Source organism: Homo sapiens, chromosome 12, assembly GCF_000001405.40.
Source record: "Homo sapiens chromosome 12, GRCh38.p14 Primary Assembly".
Taxonomy (NCBI): domain Eukaryota; kingdom Metazoa; phylum Chordata; class Mammalia; order Primates; family Hominidae; genus Homo; species Homo sapiens.
The window spans coordinates 67,927,685-67,946,734 of record NC_000012.12 but is presented as its reverse complement, the minus strand read 5'-3'; the positions used below and the strand labels follow the sequence as shown (position 1 = coordinate 67,946,734).

Sequence of the window (19,050 nt, the reverse complement as noted above, 5' to 3'; positions counted from 1 at the left end):
GGAAGGTGGTGCTGGTTCCCTGTCTACTCCTTGCCCCTTCCTCTGTGTCTCAAACCTTGGGTTTCATCGTCCCAGTTCACTGTGGTGACACAACTTCACATAGCTATGTCCTTTGAAACCGTGACCCAAGGAATAGTATGACCTTGAAGACCGCTTATATTTGAATTGCCTCCAATTCTGCATCCCAGCTGCTGGATTGGATTCTCCTGCATATAGATACTGATGCTGGTTTGCATGGAGCCTGAGCTTGCAACAGTGGAGATTAGAATTCTGGTTGCTGCTCCTTTGGGGGCAAGTCCTCATGTCATAACTATACAGCCTTAGTGTCCCCTTTCTCCTGATCCACGTGGGGCTTAGATCAAGCTGATCCATCCGGCACATTGAATATTTAAGAACATGGATGCTACAGTTAGACAGTCCTGGATTCAAATTTCTGCTCTACCAATTATCGACTGTGACATTCTGCAGTCCCTTAACCTCTAAATGCTCATCTCTTTCTCTGGAAAAATGAGGTTTCCATAGCACCTCCTTCATTTCTAGTTTATGGATTTTTACTAAGATAAATGCAGGAAAAACGCCTGGGATATTATGGTGTGCAGTAAGTACTGAAGAAATGGAAGCTTAAACAAAAGTATAAAGTACGAATAACATTTCAGATACTCAAAGCCATTTCCAGACTAAAGTGAGCTGCAGAGAAAGAAATAGCCTAAAGTGTGCTTTTATCATTAATAATGTTTTGACCGTTTGTTACCCTGATGTTTTTTGGCCACCTGATAAAGCCCTGTGAGGATGGTATGTGGGAGGATTATGGCCTATAGAAATGGAATAATCTTCTTGTATTCTTGCTATTTTCATCCTGTCTACAATTCATGAGCCATTTATTCAACTTTCATTTGTTCATCCAAAAATATTTTGCACAATGTACCGCACTGCACCACAGTAGGCACCTGGGCTCAGTGAGGTGAGATGGGATTTACAGGTTATGTTAAGAAGCTGGATTTTTGGCCGGGCGCGGTGGCTCACGCCTGTAATCCCAGCACTTTGGGAGGCCGAGGCAGGTGGATCACGAGGTCTGGAGTTTGAGACCATCCTGGCCAACATGGTGAAACCCCATCTCTACTAAAAATACAAAAAATGAGCTGGGTGTGATGGCACATGCCCGTAGTCCCAGCTACTCAGGAGGCTGAGGCAGGAGAATTGCTTGAACCCAGGAGGTGGAGGTTGCAGTAAGCCCAGATCGCGCCACTGCACTCCAGCCTAGTGACAGAGCGAGACTCCGTCTCACAAAAAAAAAAAAAAAGCTAGATTTTTTTTTCTGCAGGTAATGTGGAGGCATCAAAGAAACTCGATTATGGAAAGATCTTTATATTGCATATCTGCATGTTGATAAGACCACTCTGGGGACAATGTGGATAATGGGCTTGTAGGGGAAGTGACCAGTGACAGGCAGACAACTAGATCTCATGTGAGAGCGTATGTTGTGCTAGTTTATGTCTTTGAGGCTTTGTGCTACCCAGAATGCCCTTCCCATGCTCCTTCCTCAGCCCCTCCTCCTCCAGGAAGCCTTCCCACACTCGTTCACAAACTGTAAATCCAGTGGCATTACTCTGTGCTCCCAGAACTCTGTGCTTACCCCCATCTTAGCACTTACTAAAACATACCAAAATGAAGTAAAGTCTTCCTTGTATTTTCCACCAGATTTTAAGTAGTTTGAGGCCAGGACATACATCTTCTTCATTGTATCCCCAAAGCCCACTTCAGTGCACAGTGCATACTAGATGCTCAGTTAACATTTAATTAACAATTAAATAGGCTGGGCTAGTAGTCAAAGACTACACAGCGTGACTCCACCCATGAAAGTCATAGTTTAACAGAAGAAAAACAGACATGACAATATATTATTACAATGCAATGGGATGGTAGAAATCTATATAAATGTCTGTACAAATACAATAAAACATAATGGCTAACTGGGTAGGGGAGAAAAATAGGGAGAATGATGGTCCAGTGCCATGTCTGCACCCTGGAGCAGTGGAGCCCACTGGGACCTCTGGCCTCAGAATCAGGGCTAGTCTGTATAACATCATCTGTGGATTCCAACTCCAAGGAGCAAGTCACTCCTTATGTTTCAGTTAGTTTCAGTGGACCCGGAGCCTGCAAGGGTCTCAACTTGTAGGGTGTGAACCCCACTGTTGGCAAAGGGGCTGGACCACAGCAGGGAAAGACCGCTGCTTAATTGGCTGTGCCAGCGTCATGTTTACAGTTGAGGGCTCACTTGTCTGCATTCTTAAAAATCTGTTTTAGAATTCAGTCCTTTAGCATTGTTCATGTTCTCTGTATTTTCTCAAAAATGTATAACAGCACTTTCTTTTGTGATTCCCTCTGAACCCTTGGTTGGAATTTGCCTAGAATCAGCACCTTCAACTCATTTAAAATTGTCACGTGACTCACATTGTCTTCTAGTATTTTTGTTATATTTTGATTTTTAATTTAACGTGTTAATTACTATGTTTATTTTGCTTTGTTACTTTGGTTGATTTTTTTTTTGACAGCACGTACTGCAGATAGCAAATCATCAGCTTATTTTTAGAGCAATGCCAACTCAGTAATGACTCCATCCGAATAGATCCATTTAGTGGGAAAAACAAATTGATATAAAAAGATGCATAGACAGGGATGAAAGAACAGGAATTGCAAAGTGAGAAAGGCATTTTATAATTTATGACAATGAGAACTATCTTTTGTTTAAAAACATTTAAATTTGGATCTATCTTGGATTTCAAAATCATCAAAACATGTTTATTCTGCCCTTTCAAATACAAGTGGAAAAGAGAGAAACAAAATATGAATTGAGCCTTTGTTTGGACTGCCCCTGGTTCTCATTCCTTCTCTGCTTCAAGGTGGTCTTACCTTTCTTTCCATTTCTTGATATGAACACAGCCAAATAAATACATAAAAATAGAAGCCTTCATTGCTGATCTTGTCTCTTCTGTGATTCCAACCTATTCCCTCAATCACCTCCTTCCCTCTCTCCCTTGTTCTTCTCTTTCTCACTTCCTCTCTCTAATTAGTTGTTTTTCAGGCCAAACTGGGCATGGGTTTGCTTTAGTATCATTGGGATGAAATGGGTTGAAAAGAGAACTTGGAATAATGAGGGCTGTCTTGGGCTAAAGCATGACAATAACAGAGGCACACACTCCACTGTATTAAAATAGCACTTGGTTCCGATCTCGGTCACTAGGTGTCGCTAAGTAATCTAATTAAATACCTGGTTTATGACCAACAAATTTGAGTAGACATTGAGCTGAGTGAGGCAGAAATAAAAATTAAGGACATGTGGCCTACATAAAATCCCGTTATCCACAACAGCTATTTTAGAACAGCAGGATTAGTACCTGGAATATGAATTGGAAAGTTCATGAATTAAAAAGAACCTACGAAAGTGCTTAGCCTTTATTGGGGAAAATGAATAAATCCTTTCTATTTTATGTGCCCTTCCTTTTCTTCCTCTCCTATTAAATTGGACATCCTGCTGCCTGCATTTTCATGAGCATAACTGGATTTTATGTGGTCTAAATGTACTGGCTGGGCTGTTTGCATCTAATCCTTCCTCAGTTCATATATTTTCTTGTTAAACTTTTTTTAGAGCCTGTTTTAACCTGAACTACCTGAAAAGCAAGCTGGATGAACATAATGCCTATTCTTAGTGGAATATCTTTGAGTGAACTCCTACTCCTATGCATCCTTCAAGGCAGATCAAATGTTTTCTAGTCTGTCAAACGTGACCGCAGGCAGTTCTTTTTGCCTTGTTCCCAGAACACAGCTGCATCTTCTTCCATGTGCCATTTTTTTTGCCTTACATGGTAATTAATGGTTCATGTATCTGTCTTCGCCACATACTGTGAGCTCCCTAAGGACAGGGACAAGTTGAGGAAAGTGACTGCTCAACATTTGCTACTGTTGCTACTTATAGCTCTTCTAGTGGTGTAGCCTATAGTAAATTCAGCACACAATTACCAGTTTCCCTAAGCATTTCAGTAGAATCTTCTCATGTCATTTCAGCAGGAGTTAAACTGGTTGTGTGTGTTTTGTGGTTTATAATATTGTGTGCTTAGAAAGCAAAATTAAGGGCTCACTAAATTGATGTGGAAAGAGATTTTATGTTGTGTGTGTGTATGTGTTTGGATGGGGTCTTCAAATGTTTGTTAAAGGAGTTGTTTATTCATCCATTGCCAATCCTTTTAAAAACAGTTACACAGCAGAGAAGGGGGATTGTATTTAGAGGAGACGCTAAATCAACACCTAAATTAAGGGTAAGCTTTTAGGCAAATTACTGTGTTTTTCTTTCCTGAGAGAAATAACTGGAGATTAGGAAACATCTTTTCTTAAAGAGTTTAATGTACTTCCAAATTCAAACAAATATTTAAAATGTTACAGTAATTTCATCTAAATCTTCTGTGTGTGTCCATAATTTTCTAAAATAAGTGGTAAATCACTTTAGGAAACCTATAACAGAGTGAAAATCAGCACACATTATTCGGGTTTACTGTGTGCGTGATGCTTTGTTGAAGGAGGGAGGAGATAGAAACATGTCTGTCCCGCAAGAAGTTCACAATTGGTGTGGCCACGGATAAAACATGTAAATACAATTTGCTACTAGCCAGGAACCAAAAAGAAGACTTGAGTTCCACAAAGGACGATGAGATTTACAAGGAGTTTTCCCAGAGGCATGACGTTTGAACTAGCATTTTACCATCTTTGCAGACAGGAATCTTCATAGTTTCTACTTACTTTATGGTTTAGCTAAATTGAAGCACTAAAGGATTCACGCAATGTTTACCTAGAGTTTAAAAAACCTTGATTTTAACATTTTTATTAACGGATTGGGTGTATGTTTTAATCTAAATGATAAAGCTATTAGAGTAAATCAAGATGACTATTTTCTCTCATATTGACCTGTCCCTAACCTAAGCGGGTTTCAAACTTTGGCATACTTTGAAATTATCAATACACTTGTTAAAATACAGATTCCTCGCCAAACTTAAAGAATCTCAACCTCCTGGGATGGAGAGGCAATGTGCTTTTAAAAAGGGTTCCATGTGAATCTGGTTTAAAACCATTAAGCAATTGGATAAATCAGAGGTAAAATTTGGCCTCTATATATGCTATAGATTATGGATATGCTATAAGTTAGTAACACTATCTTCTGATCTACTAATGAATATTCCCCTTGAGGGGAGATAAGGAAAAGTTATTAAGCACTCTACTGTAATAGGTAATAAGTAATAAGTCGGCTGACCCCCTGCTCATAGCCAGCTTCCCTCAACCCCAGAAAGATCAATTTTTAAAACATGTTTCCTGCAAGACAACTATTTAAGTTATTTCCATTAAAATAAAAAGACATGGTGATTTTCTCACATGTCTGCTTTGAACTGGCTGCTGACAACTCAATTTCCGGGGAAGAAGGGAAGAGCTGGCTCTCTGGTACTGATAATCTCTTTCACCTTCATCCAGCACTCAGCTTCTTCCGGCATTCCTGTATCAGAAAGCAAACACGGGCAACTCTAAACCTTAACACTCACATGCCTCTTAGTTGGTGTCACTGAGTTCCCTTGAGCAGGCATTTGGAGGTGAGACAGCTCTTAAAAGTAATCAAATTGCATAAACCACTCCTTTTGCAAATGGACAGTGGGAATTTAGCCAAGCACAGAGGAGAAAACTTCTGACAAATGTGATCCTATAGCAGGGCTACTTAACTTATGCTTGAGGACAATGTTCGGTATGACCAAGATAAAGCTTGGTAGGACTAATTCCTGCTGACCAAAGAATTAAGAGAGCACCAGGACCTGAGATGAGTCAGTCTAATTCAATCCTGACATGATCCCAGAAACTAATGTCACAACATTTCTGATCCTTAGCTAATAGGGGCATTGTTAACAACATCAGCTGCTCTGTTGTGGTTGTTACTGACTGGCACAAAGTGGATGGATTCGTTTTCCTTTGCTGGGCACCTCAAAACATAACTACTAGTTGCAGAACATTGTTAAGAAAATACTTGTAAGATAGTTTTACAAGTGGATTTGCATATAGTATTTGTTACCAAAAAGCGATGGTACTGTAAATTTTGTTTTTTCAAATTTATATTGGCAATTGTAGTCTCTGAGAACACTTAAATAAATGAAAGCAGGACTTTTACCATTATGCTTTCAAGATTGAGAACCCTGAGTTCAAAAGCTGATACTCTAAAAACACCTAGATTGAATGAACACTTTTCAAAAACCAATAGGAGTAATAAATACAACCTTAAAATTTATCAACTGACTTTTCTTCGAATGAAATTGTTGTTAGAAAAATATAAGCATTTGTATAATTAAAAAAATAAAAATCCATCATGAACCTGTAATCGAACATTTTGGCCCTTGTATTTGCTTATTTTAAAATGGGTCCATTTTTGCATGTTTGTGTATATACTTCCAGTAATGACAATTTAGTGTGTCTATACAGTCCAGAAATGACAATTTAGTGTCTATCTTACCAGAATTACAAAGCAATTCTGAAACAAAGGTCATGAGAGAGTCCCATTACCTTCTCCAAAGGGTGCCAGGACAACTTTTCTATTATATTTTCTCCCAGAAACCTTTACTGTTCCTTGTTTATAATAACCATTATTTTTCTGAAAAAGACAGTATACAGCCCAAGCGTTAACATTAGTTTTGTAACTCTATTTTTATGAAAGCTATTTCAGCAGCTAGAGAAACTGACTTAGCTGGCCCCCAAACAGCCTTCTCTCAACATGCCATGCAGACAAGATAAACCAGCTGATGGTGTAACAGCAGAAATCTCCCTACACGGGCAGTTTAGGAGCTGGCAGAGGTGGTGGGAATTTTTCTGGGCAGTGTTCTGGACGGCCTGTCCTGTCTGGTCTGTCTTTATCCCATTGTTCCCTAAAGCTCATCCTCCATGGTAATGCCTCAGACTGTGATGGGCTGTTCACTCCACAGCATGAATTCTGACCATTAACTTAGTGATAGGACCCAGAGGAAAGGCTGTCCTCCCCACATCTGTTCTTTGGGAATGTCCTTTCACAGGAACAAACTGTGCCCTAACCTTGGTGATTAATTTTTATAATAGGAGCTCAGTAGGGTTAGATTGTGTTGATACATGTAAAAGTACATAGAAAGTTAAGAACGTTCTCTGAATAAAATAGTACCACCACTCCATTACTCTCTCTCCCTCTCTCTTTCACATACACACATACACCCTCCACAATGTTTTACGGGAAGATATAGCTGTAGAAGGAAGCCTTTTCCTCTCTAACCTTGTTCTTTTCTTGGCATTTGTCCATGAAAAGTGGGTCTACTTTTGCAAGTGTGTGTGCATATTTGTAATGAGGTAATGGTCTTAATTTATTCAGAGAACTCCCTTAATTTTCTACTCACCTTTAGATTACAGAGAAAGAAAATTTTGCCAATTCTTTTGATCTCTCATAAATGTATTATGGAGTGAGTCTTAACCTCTCCATCTTCTGCTTTCTCCTCCCCATAGGAGCAGATGTGGTTAATCTGATTGCTCCCTGGAACTCATCAGGCATCCACTTCTTCCTTACTAATGCACTGTGACCCCATATGATGTTATTCAGGCCACTACTGTGTCTAGATAAGACTCCACATCCCAATCTACCTTGCAGCTGGAAGTGGCCAATGAGATGCTAGCAGAAGTTGGTAGGTGGGGTTCCCAGTGTAACTTCAGTTCAGCTGGGATGTGTGTCCTTCCTCTGGCTCCTTCTATTTTCCTATTGCCCTGGGACAGGGTGCCATGTCTAGAGCTCTAGTGGCCATCTTTCAACCTTGAAGTGACCTTGAAAACAAAAGCTACAGGCCAAGTAGGTAGAGTGGAAAACAGAAAGATTCTCATTCCCTGATGATTGTGGAGAACATTATACTTCCTGGCTCATCTATCTCCAAATTTATTTTGGGAGAAGGAAAGACTGTTTTTAAGACAGTTTTTTTTTGTTCAATCCAGCTGAAGGTAGTCTGTTATAAACTATATAAAAGTCATGTATTCTAGAATAGCTCCACGCTGCCTCTTTCCCCCTTCTCTCTACTCTCACCCTTGGCTGCTGGTTTTTGCTTGCCTTGTAGCTTCTCATCTTCAACTGTTAAACCCAGTGCTTGGTCTGCTTGTCGCATGAAGGTTGGAAGCCTTCCACCATTGATGTCCACCATCACTGAACACAGGCATCCAGCGTTTGTCAAACCTAGCCCCCATTTGCTTCCCGGTACCCTAGATAGCAGCAGAATCCAGTCTGCTGATTTGAGGCAAATTAACCAATCAGATTATTATTCCCATTTCCGTAAAGAAGAGCAAGTAAAGAGGAATTGAGATGGTGGATCTTTCCTTTTTGGTGTTTCTGAGAGTCATGATGGAGATTCCTTCTTCTATGAGATAAGAGGAAAATGTGGGAAGAGAAAGTTTCCCTAAAGATACAAATCATTCATTGCTTATGTTTAGATTTCCATATCAGTCTTTGCCTCTCTTTCATTTCCACTTCTATAGCTGTGTTGAAGGGAGTGAAAGACTGGAGTGGAGAGATGGGTCACTAGATCCCAGCCCTTTCAGTGCAACATGCAATTCAGCTTTACCTCTCCTCTGGCTGGTGGTTCTGAGAGACACCAGGGGGTGCAGGAAGCAGGTGTGTGCTTCTCCACTGTACAAAGGTGCACGCACCCTCTCTCCTGTGCACCTGCCCAGCAACAAGGGATGGGGTTGGGACAAAGAATGTGGGGAGAGTAGACAGTGGCTTTGTCTCCCTGCTTTGGCTTCTACACTGTGTGGATCTTAAATTTGTTTGTGTAAATTACAAGTGAGGTGCAGGGAGATTATTGTGTTAGAAATGCACTTGTTTACAGTGGGTTAACGGTAGGCAGTCACCATTTGCAATGGCTGTTTGGAACTGAGGATTCACTGCACTTCCTACATTGCCCTTTCTTTCCATAGAAGGTTAAACTAACAACATTCGCCATCAAGAAAAGAGGAGTAGTTACCCTTTCCACATTCCAGAATCTTATTCTTTCTACTTCCTTGAAAGAAATCTGAAGGAAGAGAATCAAGATCTTTTGATTACACAAAAAGGGATGTGAACAGCCCCTCTTAAGGACCATCCTTCTTCCAGGTGCGATGAAGAATGCCCTAGGTTATTTTCTAAAAGGATCATCAGAGTTGACAATTTTGTGGACTGTCTGTTTTGAAAACTGAACTTAATATTCAGGACACCATGACAACTAGAGGAATCACCTACGGTTTGAATCTCAAAACTATGTGTCTCCCAAGCTTTGCCCCCATGGATGACCCACTCAGAGCCACAGTACATCAAATGGGCCACTCACTTGCTGTGAGAAACGAACAGCAGTGCATATGTCTAAGACTCAACTGCCACATGGTGACTCTATTTAAAGTTACTCAGTGTTCAGTGTTGCCAGTTTCATAATAACAACACCTAGTATTTGTATATAACCTTTGGCTGAAAAACACAGATGTTTAAAAAATATACTCAGGTCTTATCACAAATGTAGGTGGCAAGTGTGGTTCTTTTCTTCCTCCAGTTGAGGAAAATTAAGTAACAGGAATGAATGACTTGTGTAGGCTCACTAAAGCATTTGTAAAACCTTGGCTTTTATTTGCCTTCGGTTTAGTTTAATATAATTTGTTAAATGGGGTACTGATTTTTTTCTCATGCTTTTTTGAGATCTAATTCACAATTCACCTTTCTAAAGCACACACCATGATTTTTAATATATTCACAGTTGGCCAGGCACGGTGGCTCATGCCTGTAATCCCAGCACTTTGGGAGGCTGAGGCGGGTGGATCACGAGGTCAGGAGATCGAGACCATCGTGGCTAACGCTGTGAAACCCCGTCTCTGCTAAAAATACAGAAAAAAATTAGCCGGGTGTGGTGGCGGGCGCCTGTAGTCCCAGCTACTCGGGAGGCTGAGGCAGAAGAATGGTGTGAACCCAGGAGGCAGAGCTTGCAGTGAGCTGAGACTGCACCACTGCACTCCAGCCTAGGTGACAGAGCGAGACTCCATCTCAAAAAAAAAAAAAAAAGATATATATATATATATATATATATATATATATATATATATATATATGCATATTCACAGTTGTAAGACCATATTCACTAATTTCAGAACATTTTAATCACCTCAAAAAGAAATCACATACACATTAGCAACCAGTCCCTATCCCCTTCCTTCCCCAGCCCCTGGTAACCATTAATCTACTTTCTATCTCTCTGGATTTGCCTTTTCTGGACATTTCATGTAAAATTGAATCATACAATATGTGGCCTTTTATGACTAGCTTTTTTCATTTAGCATAATGTTTTTTAAGGTGAGTACTTCATTCCCTTTTATGGATAAATACTATTCCATTGTATGGATATACTAAGTTTTGTTTATCTACTCATCAATGATAGACATTTGAGTTGTTTTTACTTTGGGGCTGTTATGTGTAATGCTTCTATGGACATGCTTGTACAAGGTTTTGTGTGGAAATCTGTTTTCAATGACCTTGGGTTTATGCCTAGGAGTAGAATTGAGTTATACGGTAACTCCATGTTTAACCTTTGAAGAATTGCCAACCTGTGCTACAAAGAGGCTGCCCAATTTTACATTCCCACCAGCAGTGTAGGAGGGGTCCAGTTTCTCCACATCCCTGTCGGCATTTGTTATTTTCTATCATTGTGGCTAGCTATCCTAATCAGTGTGGTAGCTAATGATTTTTATTTGTTTGATTTTTTTATTTAAAAATTATATTTCAATGGCTTTAGGGGTACAAGAGGTTTTGGTTACGTGAATGAATTATACAGTGGTGAAGTATAGGATTTTATTGCACCTTTTACCCAAGTAGTGTATGTTGTACCCAATAGGTAGTTTTTCACTAATGATTTTTAAACAATAATTTAAAGAAATAGAAAGCTAGAGACCTTAGGTCACTGTTTTGTTGTTGTTGTTGTTGTTGTTGTTGTTGTGAGGTGTAGTCTTGCTCTTGTTGCCCTGGCTGGAGTGCAACGGTGTGGTCTTGGCTCACTGCGACCTTCACTCCCAGGTTCAAGCAATTCTCCTGCCTCAGCCTCCCAAGTAGCTGGGATTACAGGTGCGTACCACCACACCCGGCTAATTTTTGTATTTTCAGAAGAGACAGGGTTTCACCATGTTGGCCAGGCTGGTCTTGAACTCCTGACCTCAGGTGATCCGCCCACCTCACCCTCCCTAAGTACTGGGATTACGGGCGTGAGCCACCACACCCGGCCAACCTTGGGACACTTGCTAAGCTGGGAGAATAGACTATGTGGCCTATGCAAAGGGAACCCTTTTCCTTACCAGGCTTCTCCCCATTTTCAATGCCCCTCTCCTTATCAGTGACCAGCTTCCTGGGGTCTGCACTTAATGGGAGACAGAGAAAGCTGCTTGAGGCTTCACCTCCTCCCTCCATTCCCAGAGTCCCACATTCAGCTTACAGGGAGGCTTTTCCAATTTGCAATTCCAACTCTCTCCAGAAACTCTCCTACCATTGACACCTGGCTCAGTGCATTCACTATTGTCACCATCTTCAGCTGTTCTGGAATACTCTTTATACCATTTGATGTCTTCCTCATATGAATAGAGATATCCAATACTGAATATGCCCATAGCACTTATTATACCTGGTTACACTTAATCTTCATAGCAACTCTGTGATTCATGTTGCTATTGTCCGAGAAATTTTAGAGATGAGGAAATTAAAGATAAAGGGTGCAAGGTCAATTTCCTTGGCCACACAGCTGTCAATGGTAAAGTAGAAATGACTGGGCAGGGCTGTAATGTCAGCTTCATCTGTCCTGATATTTATTTCTCCTTGGTCTCTTCTCAGGCTTTGAAAGTCTGGAGAACTCTCTTACACTAAGAAATCCTGAAAAGTGATTTCTTCATCCTCCCTCCCCTAATGACATGATAATCCTGGAGGGAGTTGTACAGCTAAGTAGGCCTGGGATGACTTGGTTTTATTTAATTATAATTTTAATTATTCCATTAGGCCATTTGTGTCTCTGGAGTCAATTTTCCTTCTCAGATATTTTCTGAGAACTAGAAAATAAGTTTATAATTTTTTTTCTTGGTTTTAATTGCAGTCTTATTAACTGGATCAGTTTAGGTTTGGAGTAATTTCTTGGTGTGGTGAATAAGAATAATCAAGGTTAACCCCATACACACAATGTAATAATCATGTTTTTTGGCTGTGAAACAGAATCTAGCATGGTCATTTCATACCAGGTGAAGGATGGCTCTCATGAAAGTGTGGTGAAATAAAACAGTATTTCACCACACTTTCTATGAGTTTGCTGGTGTGAAAAATGCATTATTAGAACACATGGCAACAATGCTAGAGTGGACTCTGGATTTTTTAATGCCAGACTTTCATTAAGCGGGAGAAAAGAATACAAATTTTGACATTTCACTTGGAATGGAAGCAGGTGAGCCTCTAGGTTTGTTTTTTGTTTGTTTGTTTTTAACTTTTATTTTAGGTTCAAGGGTAAATGTGCAGGTTTGTTATATGGGTAAACTTGTGTCGTGGGGGCTTGTTATACAGATTATTTTTTCACCCAGGTACTAAGCCTGGTGCCCAATAGTTATTCTTTCTGATCCTCTCCCTCTCCCATCCCTCATTCTCAAGTAGGCCCCAATGTTTGTTGTTCCTCTCTTTATGCCACTTGTTGATGAACCTCTATTATTTTTAAGGGTCTAGTTAAATTGAAATAGTAACTTTTTAAAAATATTCACCATTGAGACATGTGTTTTCTAGTAGCAAAAACACCATAATACAAAATTCAGGGCCCTAAATGCTTTTTCCCCCCACTACCTATCACAATCTCTCAACCCATTTAAGAGCAAAAAAGAGGAACTTCATATCTGGAAAAATACAGGCATTATTATTTGGTATGGGCTTTGACCATATATTTTATTTTCATGACAAGTTAGGCCTACTTTTCTTTCTCATGTTTTAATCCTTCCTACTTACAAAGCTAGAAGTTGGCATCTTAAAGATAGGATAGGATGAGGGTAAAGATATTTCTTACATTTCTGGAAGGAGGTGTGTGTGTGTGTGTGTGTGTGTGTGTGTGTGTGTGTGTGTGTAAATCTTCAGGGGAAGACTAAAGAATAACTGTAGGGAATAGTGGCAAATTAATTTAAACTAACATACTGTAATAAAGCCAACCCCTGAGATCTGTTCTTCTGGATGTTGTCATAAATAACACTCTATTCATTATATGGGCAAACATGAATTCAAACTAAATCCATTGAATTTTGTTAAAAAGTCATTTAACTCAGGGTTTAACTCAGGTTCGTTCTATTTCTTTTTAAATTTTATTTTATTTTCAGTTAACCAAATAATTGCATATATTTATGTGGTACAATGTGATGTTTTGATATGTTTATCATGAGGAACGAATAAATCATTTCTTTTAAAAAATGCTTTCTTTTAACTCTAGTTCATAGCAGTATTCAGAGGAAAGAGTGTTCCTGAGTTGCAAGGATCTTTACTGGAGATTTTTTTCTTCTGACCCTGGTTCTTTGACATGAGTAAGACATAACTGATACTGGGGTGATTCCTGTAACTGGCATAGTTCTAAAATGAAGTGGACACAAACTGTTTTCCATTTAAATATTTTAAACTGGCATATATATATCAATAATGGAAACATCTGGGTACATGCTGAACCTTGAATCTTTGTTGTATTTGTTATTTAAAATACACAGATACCCCACCAGTCAGGGTCTGTGCTGTTCCTTGGGCCTCTTTGCTTTTCCAGCTCAGACCTGGCTTTATATGGTCTGTTTCAAGCTCTTCCAGCCTCCATCTTATCAATACTTCAGAAACCTCTAAGGCAGATAGAGGTAGAGTCAGAAGACCTGGATTTGAATATTCCATCATTTGCTTATTTTGTGACTCTGGGTAAATTATTTGACTTCTCTGAGGTAACTTCTTCATCTACAAAAGTAAGAAAATGCTTAATAATTATTTTTAGTATTAGGCCTTTAATTTTCCATGCAAAGCTCTACTCTCATAATTCATTTTGAATCAATGATGGCTTGAAAAATATCCTAGTCATTTCCCTCTGGTAATTTCCCTCATGCCCCACTTCTACGTTTACCATTGATATCAATATTTGTCAGCATTTAAACAAATTATAATGATCTTCCCCCCAAAGGGATTTTACTATTTTTGTTGTTCAACATTGACATTTTCCCACTTCACATCATTTTTGGAAATGGGTAAATAATGAATAAAATGAGTATTGATATACCTTGCAAGATAAATTGTCTCACCGGAATCAGATCACTTCGTTTCACAGCAGTATTGGAATACTTAATCGAATTTCTCAGTGGAGCCACAGGCATGACTTCATGGGCAAGGCTGCTACAGGAGATCAAGTAGAGGTGGAAGAAGAGTAAAGGAAAGGTGAGAGAGGGTCTGATAGCTACCTGCTGCCCAGGTAAGAATGAGGATAAACAAATGGTTAAGCATCATATGAAAGGCATGGAGTTCTTGGAGGTGTGGGGACCCACAGAGCCAATCAGATGGGCTCCCTGAGGCTACCTGACCAGAACTGTGTGCACCTGATAAGCAGGATGGCTACGTAGGGGCTCGGAGAGGAGAGGAAGGCAATGAAGCTGCCTGCTGGCACAGGATGCCTTCGCCAGCAAGACCAGGAAAGGACAGTGTTCAGGACCCAGCTCAAGCCAGCAGTGGAATATCTGTAGTGAGGAATGGAAGCTCACTGCCCCAACAAAAGTGATGCTGCCACTCAACTCAACCCAGATATTGAATTGTTTCAGTTGTCCAAAGTAACAGTATTCTTTGTGGGCCACTGTGACATGGTAAAACATTTTGTTCCTAGCAGATGGTATAAACTTAGTGAATGTTTGCTGAATTTACTCATTCACTTATTCATTCAAAAATACCTATGAAACTTCTATTTTAGGCCCGACACTATTTTAGAGTATAGAAATATAGTCATGAACTAGATAGGCAAGTCCTTGAAGTCATGGGTTTCTATTCTAGAAGGGGAGTCAGATACCTAAATAAACAAGCAGAATAATATTAGGTAGTGACAAGTGCTTATCATTAGACTTATCTAGAATGATGTTTTAAATACAGTGGTCAGGGGAGTGGTATTTGAGGCCTGAATCATAAAAATTAGCCACCTACCCTAGGATCCATACAAAGAGAACCTCAAGTGGATTCAATAACATGTAATGCTTGCTGATTTGTTCTATCCCTTAAGTAAATCTTATTCTAATATACTTCATTCAAAATAGTTGTTGAACATGTTCCATATTCCAAGTAATGTGTTAGGTGCTAGGGATATAAAAGCAAAGCCATAGCCCCTGCCTTCAAGGAACTGATATTCCAATATGGAGATCCAGAGGTGTGAACAATTACAATAAAAAGTGAGAACTGCCCTGATGATGGAGGCATGGTCAGTGGGAGATTTCTTGAAGAAGTACCTTTATTGTAATGAAGATAGCAAGACTATCTGTGTGTTGGGAAAAAAAATGTCCAGGGGTGTCTCATGTTTCTGCAAGCCTTGTCAACAAAGAGACTTTTATTTGGGACTGCCTTCCAAGAATATTTGTATGGTGAACTTCTTGGAGGTTAGAGGTAGCGTGCCTCTCTCAAGCAGAGAGATTTGTTTCTTAACTAGGATACTAAAAAAAAGGTTTCCTTCTAAGGAAAAAGTTGGGCAGGTTTCCTTATAGCCTCTTTAAAAGCTTGTAGTTTCCTAAGCTCGGGGTTTTTCACCTTTGGTGCAAACCGACTGCGTTTGCAGCATCTACCTTGGCCACCCCCTAATGCCCCATAGGATTTGGAGGACAAGAAGAACCTACATGAATATTGGAGCTGATGCTGCTTGCTGTGCCATGAGTGATAAAGTCCTCTGTGTCTGACTCAGGAATCTGTGTCTTCTGCAAGAATCCATGCAATTGTGGCGGCTCCCTTGTTAGCTTGGAAGCAGACAAAACTTCACACCCTTAATCATTCTTAACATGGTGACAATATTAAAATTATTTCAGGTTTATGAGCTTTATTTTTCTCAGTGGAAAACTTGGGATAAAAATTCTAACTTCACAAACTCATTGTAAGAGACAAATGGAAGGTCATAGGTGTAGCAGAGATGGTTAGCTATTCCCTAATATATGTTCTCTCTCTCTCTCCTCTAACATAGAAATTGTAGTGTGACAAAGGCTACCAGACTGACTAAAACATCTCCTAGCCTCGTTTGCAGCTAGCTGTGATCAAGCAATAAAGCTCTGTCAATGGGGTGTGAGCAGAAACACAACTTGCAGATGATGCTCTTGCAAGGAAGGAAAATTCTCTCCCCTTCACCTTCCCTCCTTCCCATTGCCTGGAATACAGACACAGTGGTAAGACATCTTGGAACATTTGGATGGGAAACACCCTACACATGGCAGAGCACTAAAACAAAAGGAACCTGGAGCCTCTGTCCTCTTGCTGTCACCATTCAAGTCCTGGACTGCAAATATACAGACTGTCACATCAGAAAAAACTTCCCGTCTTGTTAGAGCCACTCCTATTTGGCATGTTTATTGAAGAAATGAACTGGTATTCTAATGAATGGAGGAATGAGAAGATCCGAGTGAGGGATTAGAAAGATGCTATTGGTGATGGTAGAGAAAAGAAAATAGAGCCAGATAAATTAGGAGGGAGATCACCTAGCTGCCAAGTAATGGGTTATTTTTCAGAGGTTTTGAATGTTGGCAAATCTTTAAGTCTTACCTGGTCTGTGGACTCTTACAAGAAGTTTGAATTCCATAGTCAAATTAGGAACACACTGACTTAAACATAATTCTTTATTATAGGTAGTACAAGTGTTTTCAGCACTAAAAGATTTTATGCCTCTTAAAAGAGAGGGCTGAAAATAAAGTATTCCTCATACTTATCTGAAAATGAGACCTTTCATCTAAAACTAGTGTTCATGGCCACTAGAGGACACATGATCCAATGCCTATGGGATTTAAAGACGTCTCCCAGCCCTCTTAGAAATTTGTAACCTGCAGTAACACCCAAATAGTCAACAAAGCAATTCACAAAGGTATTTGTCAGATAGGATGAAATAGACATGTGTGCATGACACATACACACCCTTTTCCAAACCAGAGCCAAAAGTTGCAGATACACCAGAAACCATGCGGTATCAATTTTCCCCTCTAAAGAGTTCAGCTTTGTTTTTGTTCCAAGGTGTGAATGAATAGCACAAGGACTGAAAAGGATAACAGTTCCTACCTTGATTCCACTTGAAGATCTTCATGAAGAAAGTCCTTGCTGGAACCTGAGCAGACTGAATACTAATTTCTCTTAGCAAGACATTACACTGCATGGTGGATGGCCTTCTTGCTCAGGAAGTTCATGACAATCCAAGAGGCAAAATGAAAGGAGGCAGAACAGAGCATGTAAAGTCAGAATCTTGTGACTTTGGCCCTGAGAGTGTTTGATCTGGCAGGAACTATTTTCCATGAGTAACCGAGTCCTGTATAGCACTTATGGGATCAAATGGCAGTATAAATTGGATCAACAGTTAATGTCTTAATTCTCTCCATGACCAATGTGAGGAAAAGTAATTCTATTTAAATCCTTCATAGAAAAATACTTCATGCAGAATCCTGGGGGGAAAAGAATTAAAAATTGTGATCTCATGTCAAATATTCCTGCAGTTTTCTCAACAGTACAGTTAATCCTTTGGGCTGGCAAAAGCAGGTTTTCTTTCATTATTTTGGTCTGTATTGGCAACGAAGTTATTAGGTGCAAAAGAAACACACACAGAGATGTCACACCACACTTGACACTGTCACTGTGGTGACAAGGTTTTCTCCAGCTGTCAGTGTCAGAAGGATTTCATTCTGTTTGATGCCACACGGTTTTGTGGTGAGAAGTGGCAGGCAAGCCCTTTTATTCCTTGTAATGTCTTCATTAATAATAGCAGTCATCAATTACCAGAGAAAAGGAGTACAAAATAAATTGTAAACATTATAACCTGGGGTCTTTATGGAGGATCTTTTATATTGTTTCATGGAATTGGAGGTGAATTCAGCAATAGGATTTTTGAACTCTGGAAAGATAGGGGGAAGCTTCCATTTCTTATATGCATGTTGGTCACATAAGACATCAGTCTGTGTGCACAGTTTCCTCATTTTCTTCAATGGTCTGGGTCATTACTTACCCAACAATCTGAAAAAAAAGTACAAATTATGTGTCTAAGTCTATACAATGAGAAGGTGACTTCTTTTTAAGAGCCATGAGAACTTCTCAGAATAAGAATCTCTTTTACAAACCAGTGGAAATCTATCAATCTTAGTTTGGGGGATACCAGGTAAGGTTTCTTCTTTGTAGGGTTTCTGGAGCTTTTAATGAGATGATGCATTCTGTGAAGCTTTAAGGGAAAAAGAAAATATACAGTTTCCTGAGTTTGTTTCATCACAGAAACATTTGTTATGGGCCTAGATAGTTCCATGAAACCTCTATTTTGGAAAGGCTAAAGGAATTAGTTAATCCATTAGCTTTTATATCTAATAAGCACATACTGTGCCTACAAAGAAACAAAAGTTTTCAAGAAACGCCCTCTTAACCTGGCAGTCGGACCAAAGTCCACATTCTTGGTGAGGAAGTTAGGCCTAACAATGTTTTAGCAGAGATATAATTTGATCCTTGGGACTATTTAAGAATACAGCAGTAAAAGTTGCTTACTTTGAGCTGTGGCAGAGATGGGCTGCAGGATTTGTGCAATTCTCATCTCACTGGTTGGAATTCTCTTCTCTCCTATTTGAGAAAATACAGTGTGAAAAAGTCACGTTCCTGCAAGGGTAGAACTCACAGTCTCTAAAATATGACCTAGTGATTCAAAAAGATTGGTACTTTGCTGTTTGACAACATTTTTCAGTGAACCATCACACTTTAAAATAGCCCTGTATAGAGCCCTGACTCCAAGGATC

At 39.6% G+C, this 19,050-nt stretch overlaps 1 long non-coding RNA gene across 1 annotated transcript in view; it reads right to left on the bottom strand.

The window, feature by feature from the left end:
• Positions 1-17,500, bottom strand: part of LINC01479 (long intergenic non-protein coding RNA 1479) — a 40,783-nt gene extending 23,283 nt beyond the window's left edge. Inside the window, exons 1-2 of the long non-coding RNA NR_120456.1 lie at positions 17,348-17,500; positions 14,346-14,458 (exon numbers count right to left, since the gene is read on the bottom strand). This is a non-coding gene — a long non-coding RNA (long intergenic non-protein coding RNA 1479). The remainder of the gene's footprint in view (positions 1-14,345; positions 14,459-17,347) is intronic.
• Between the last annotated feature and the right edge of the window lie 1,550 nt (positions 17,501-19,050).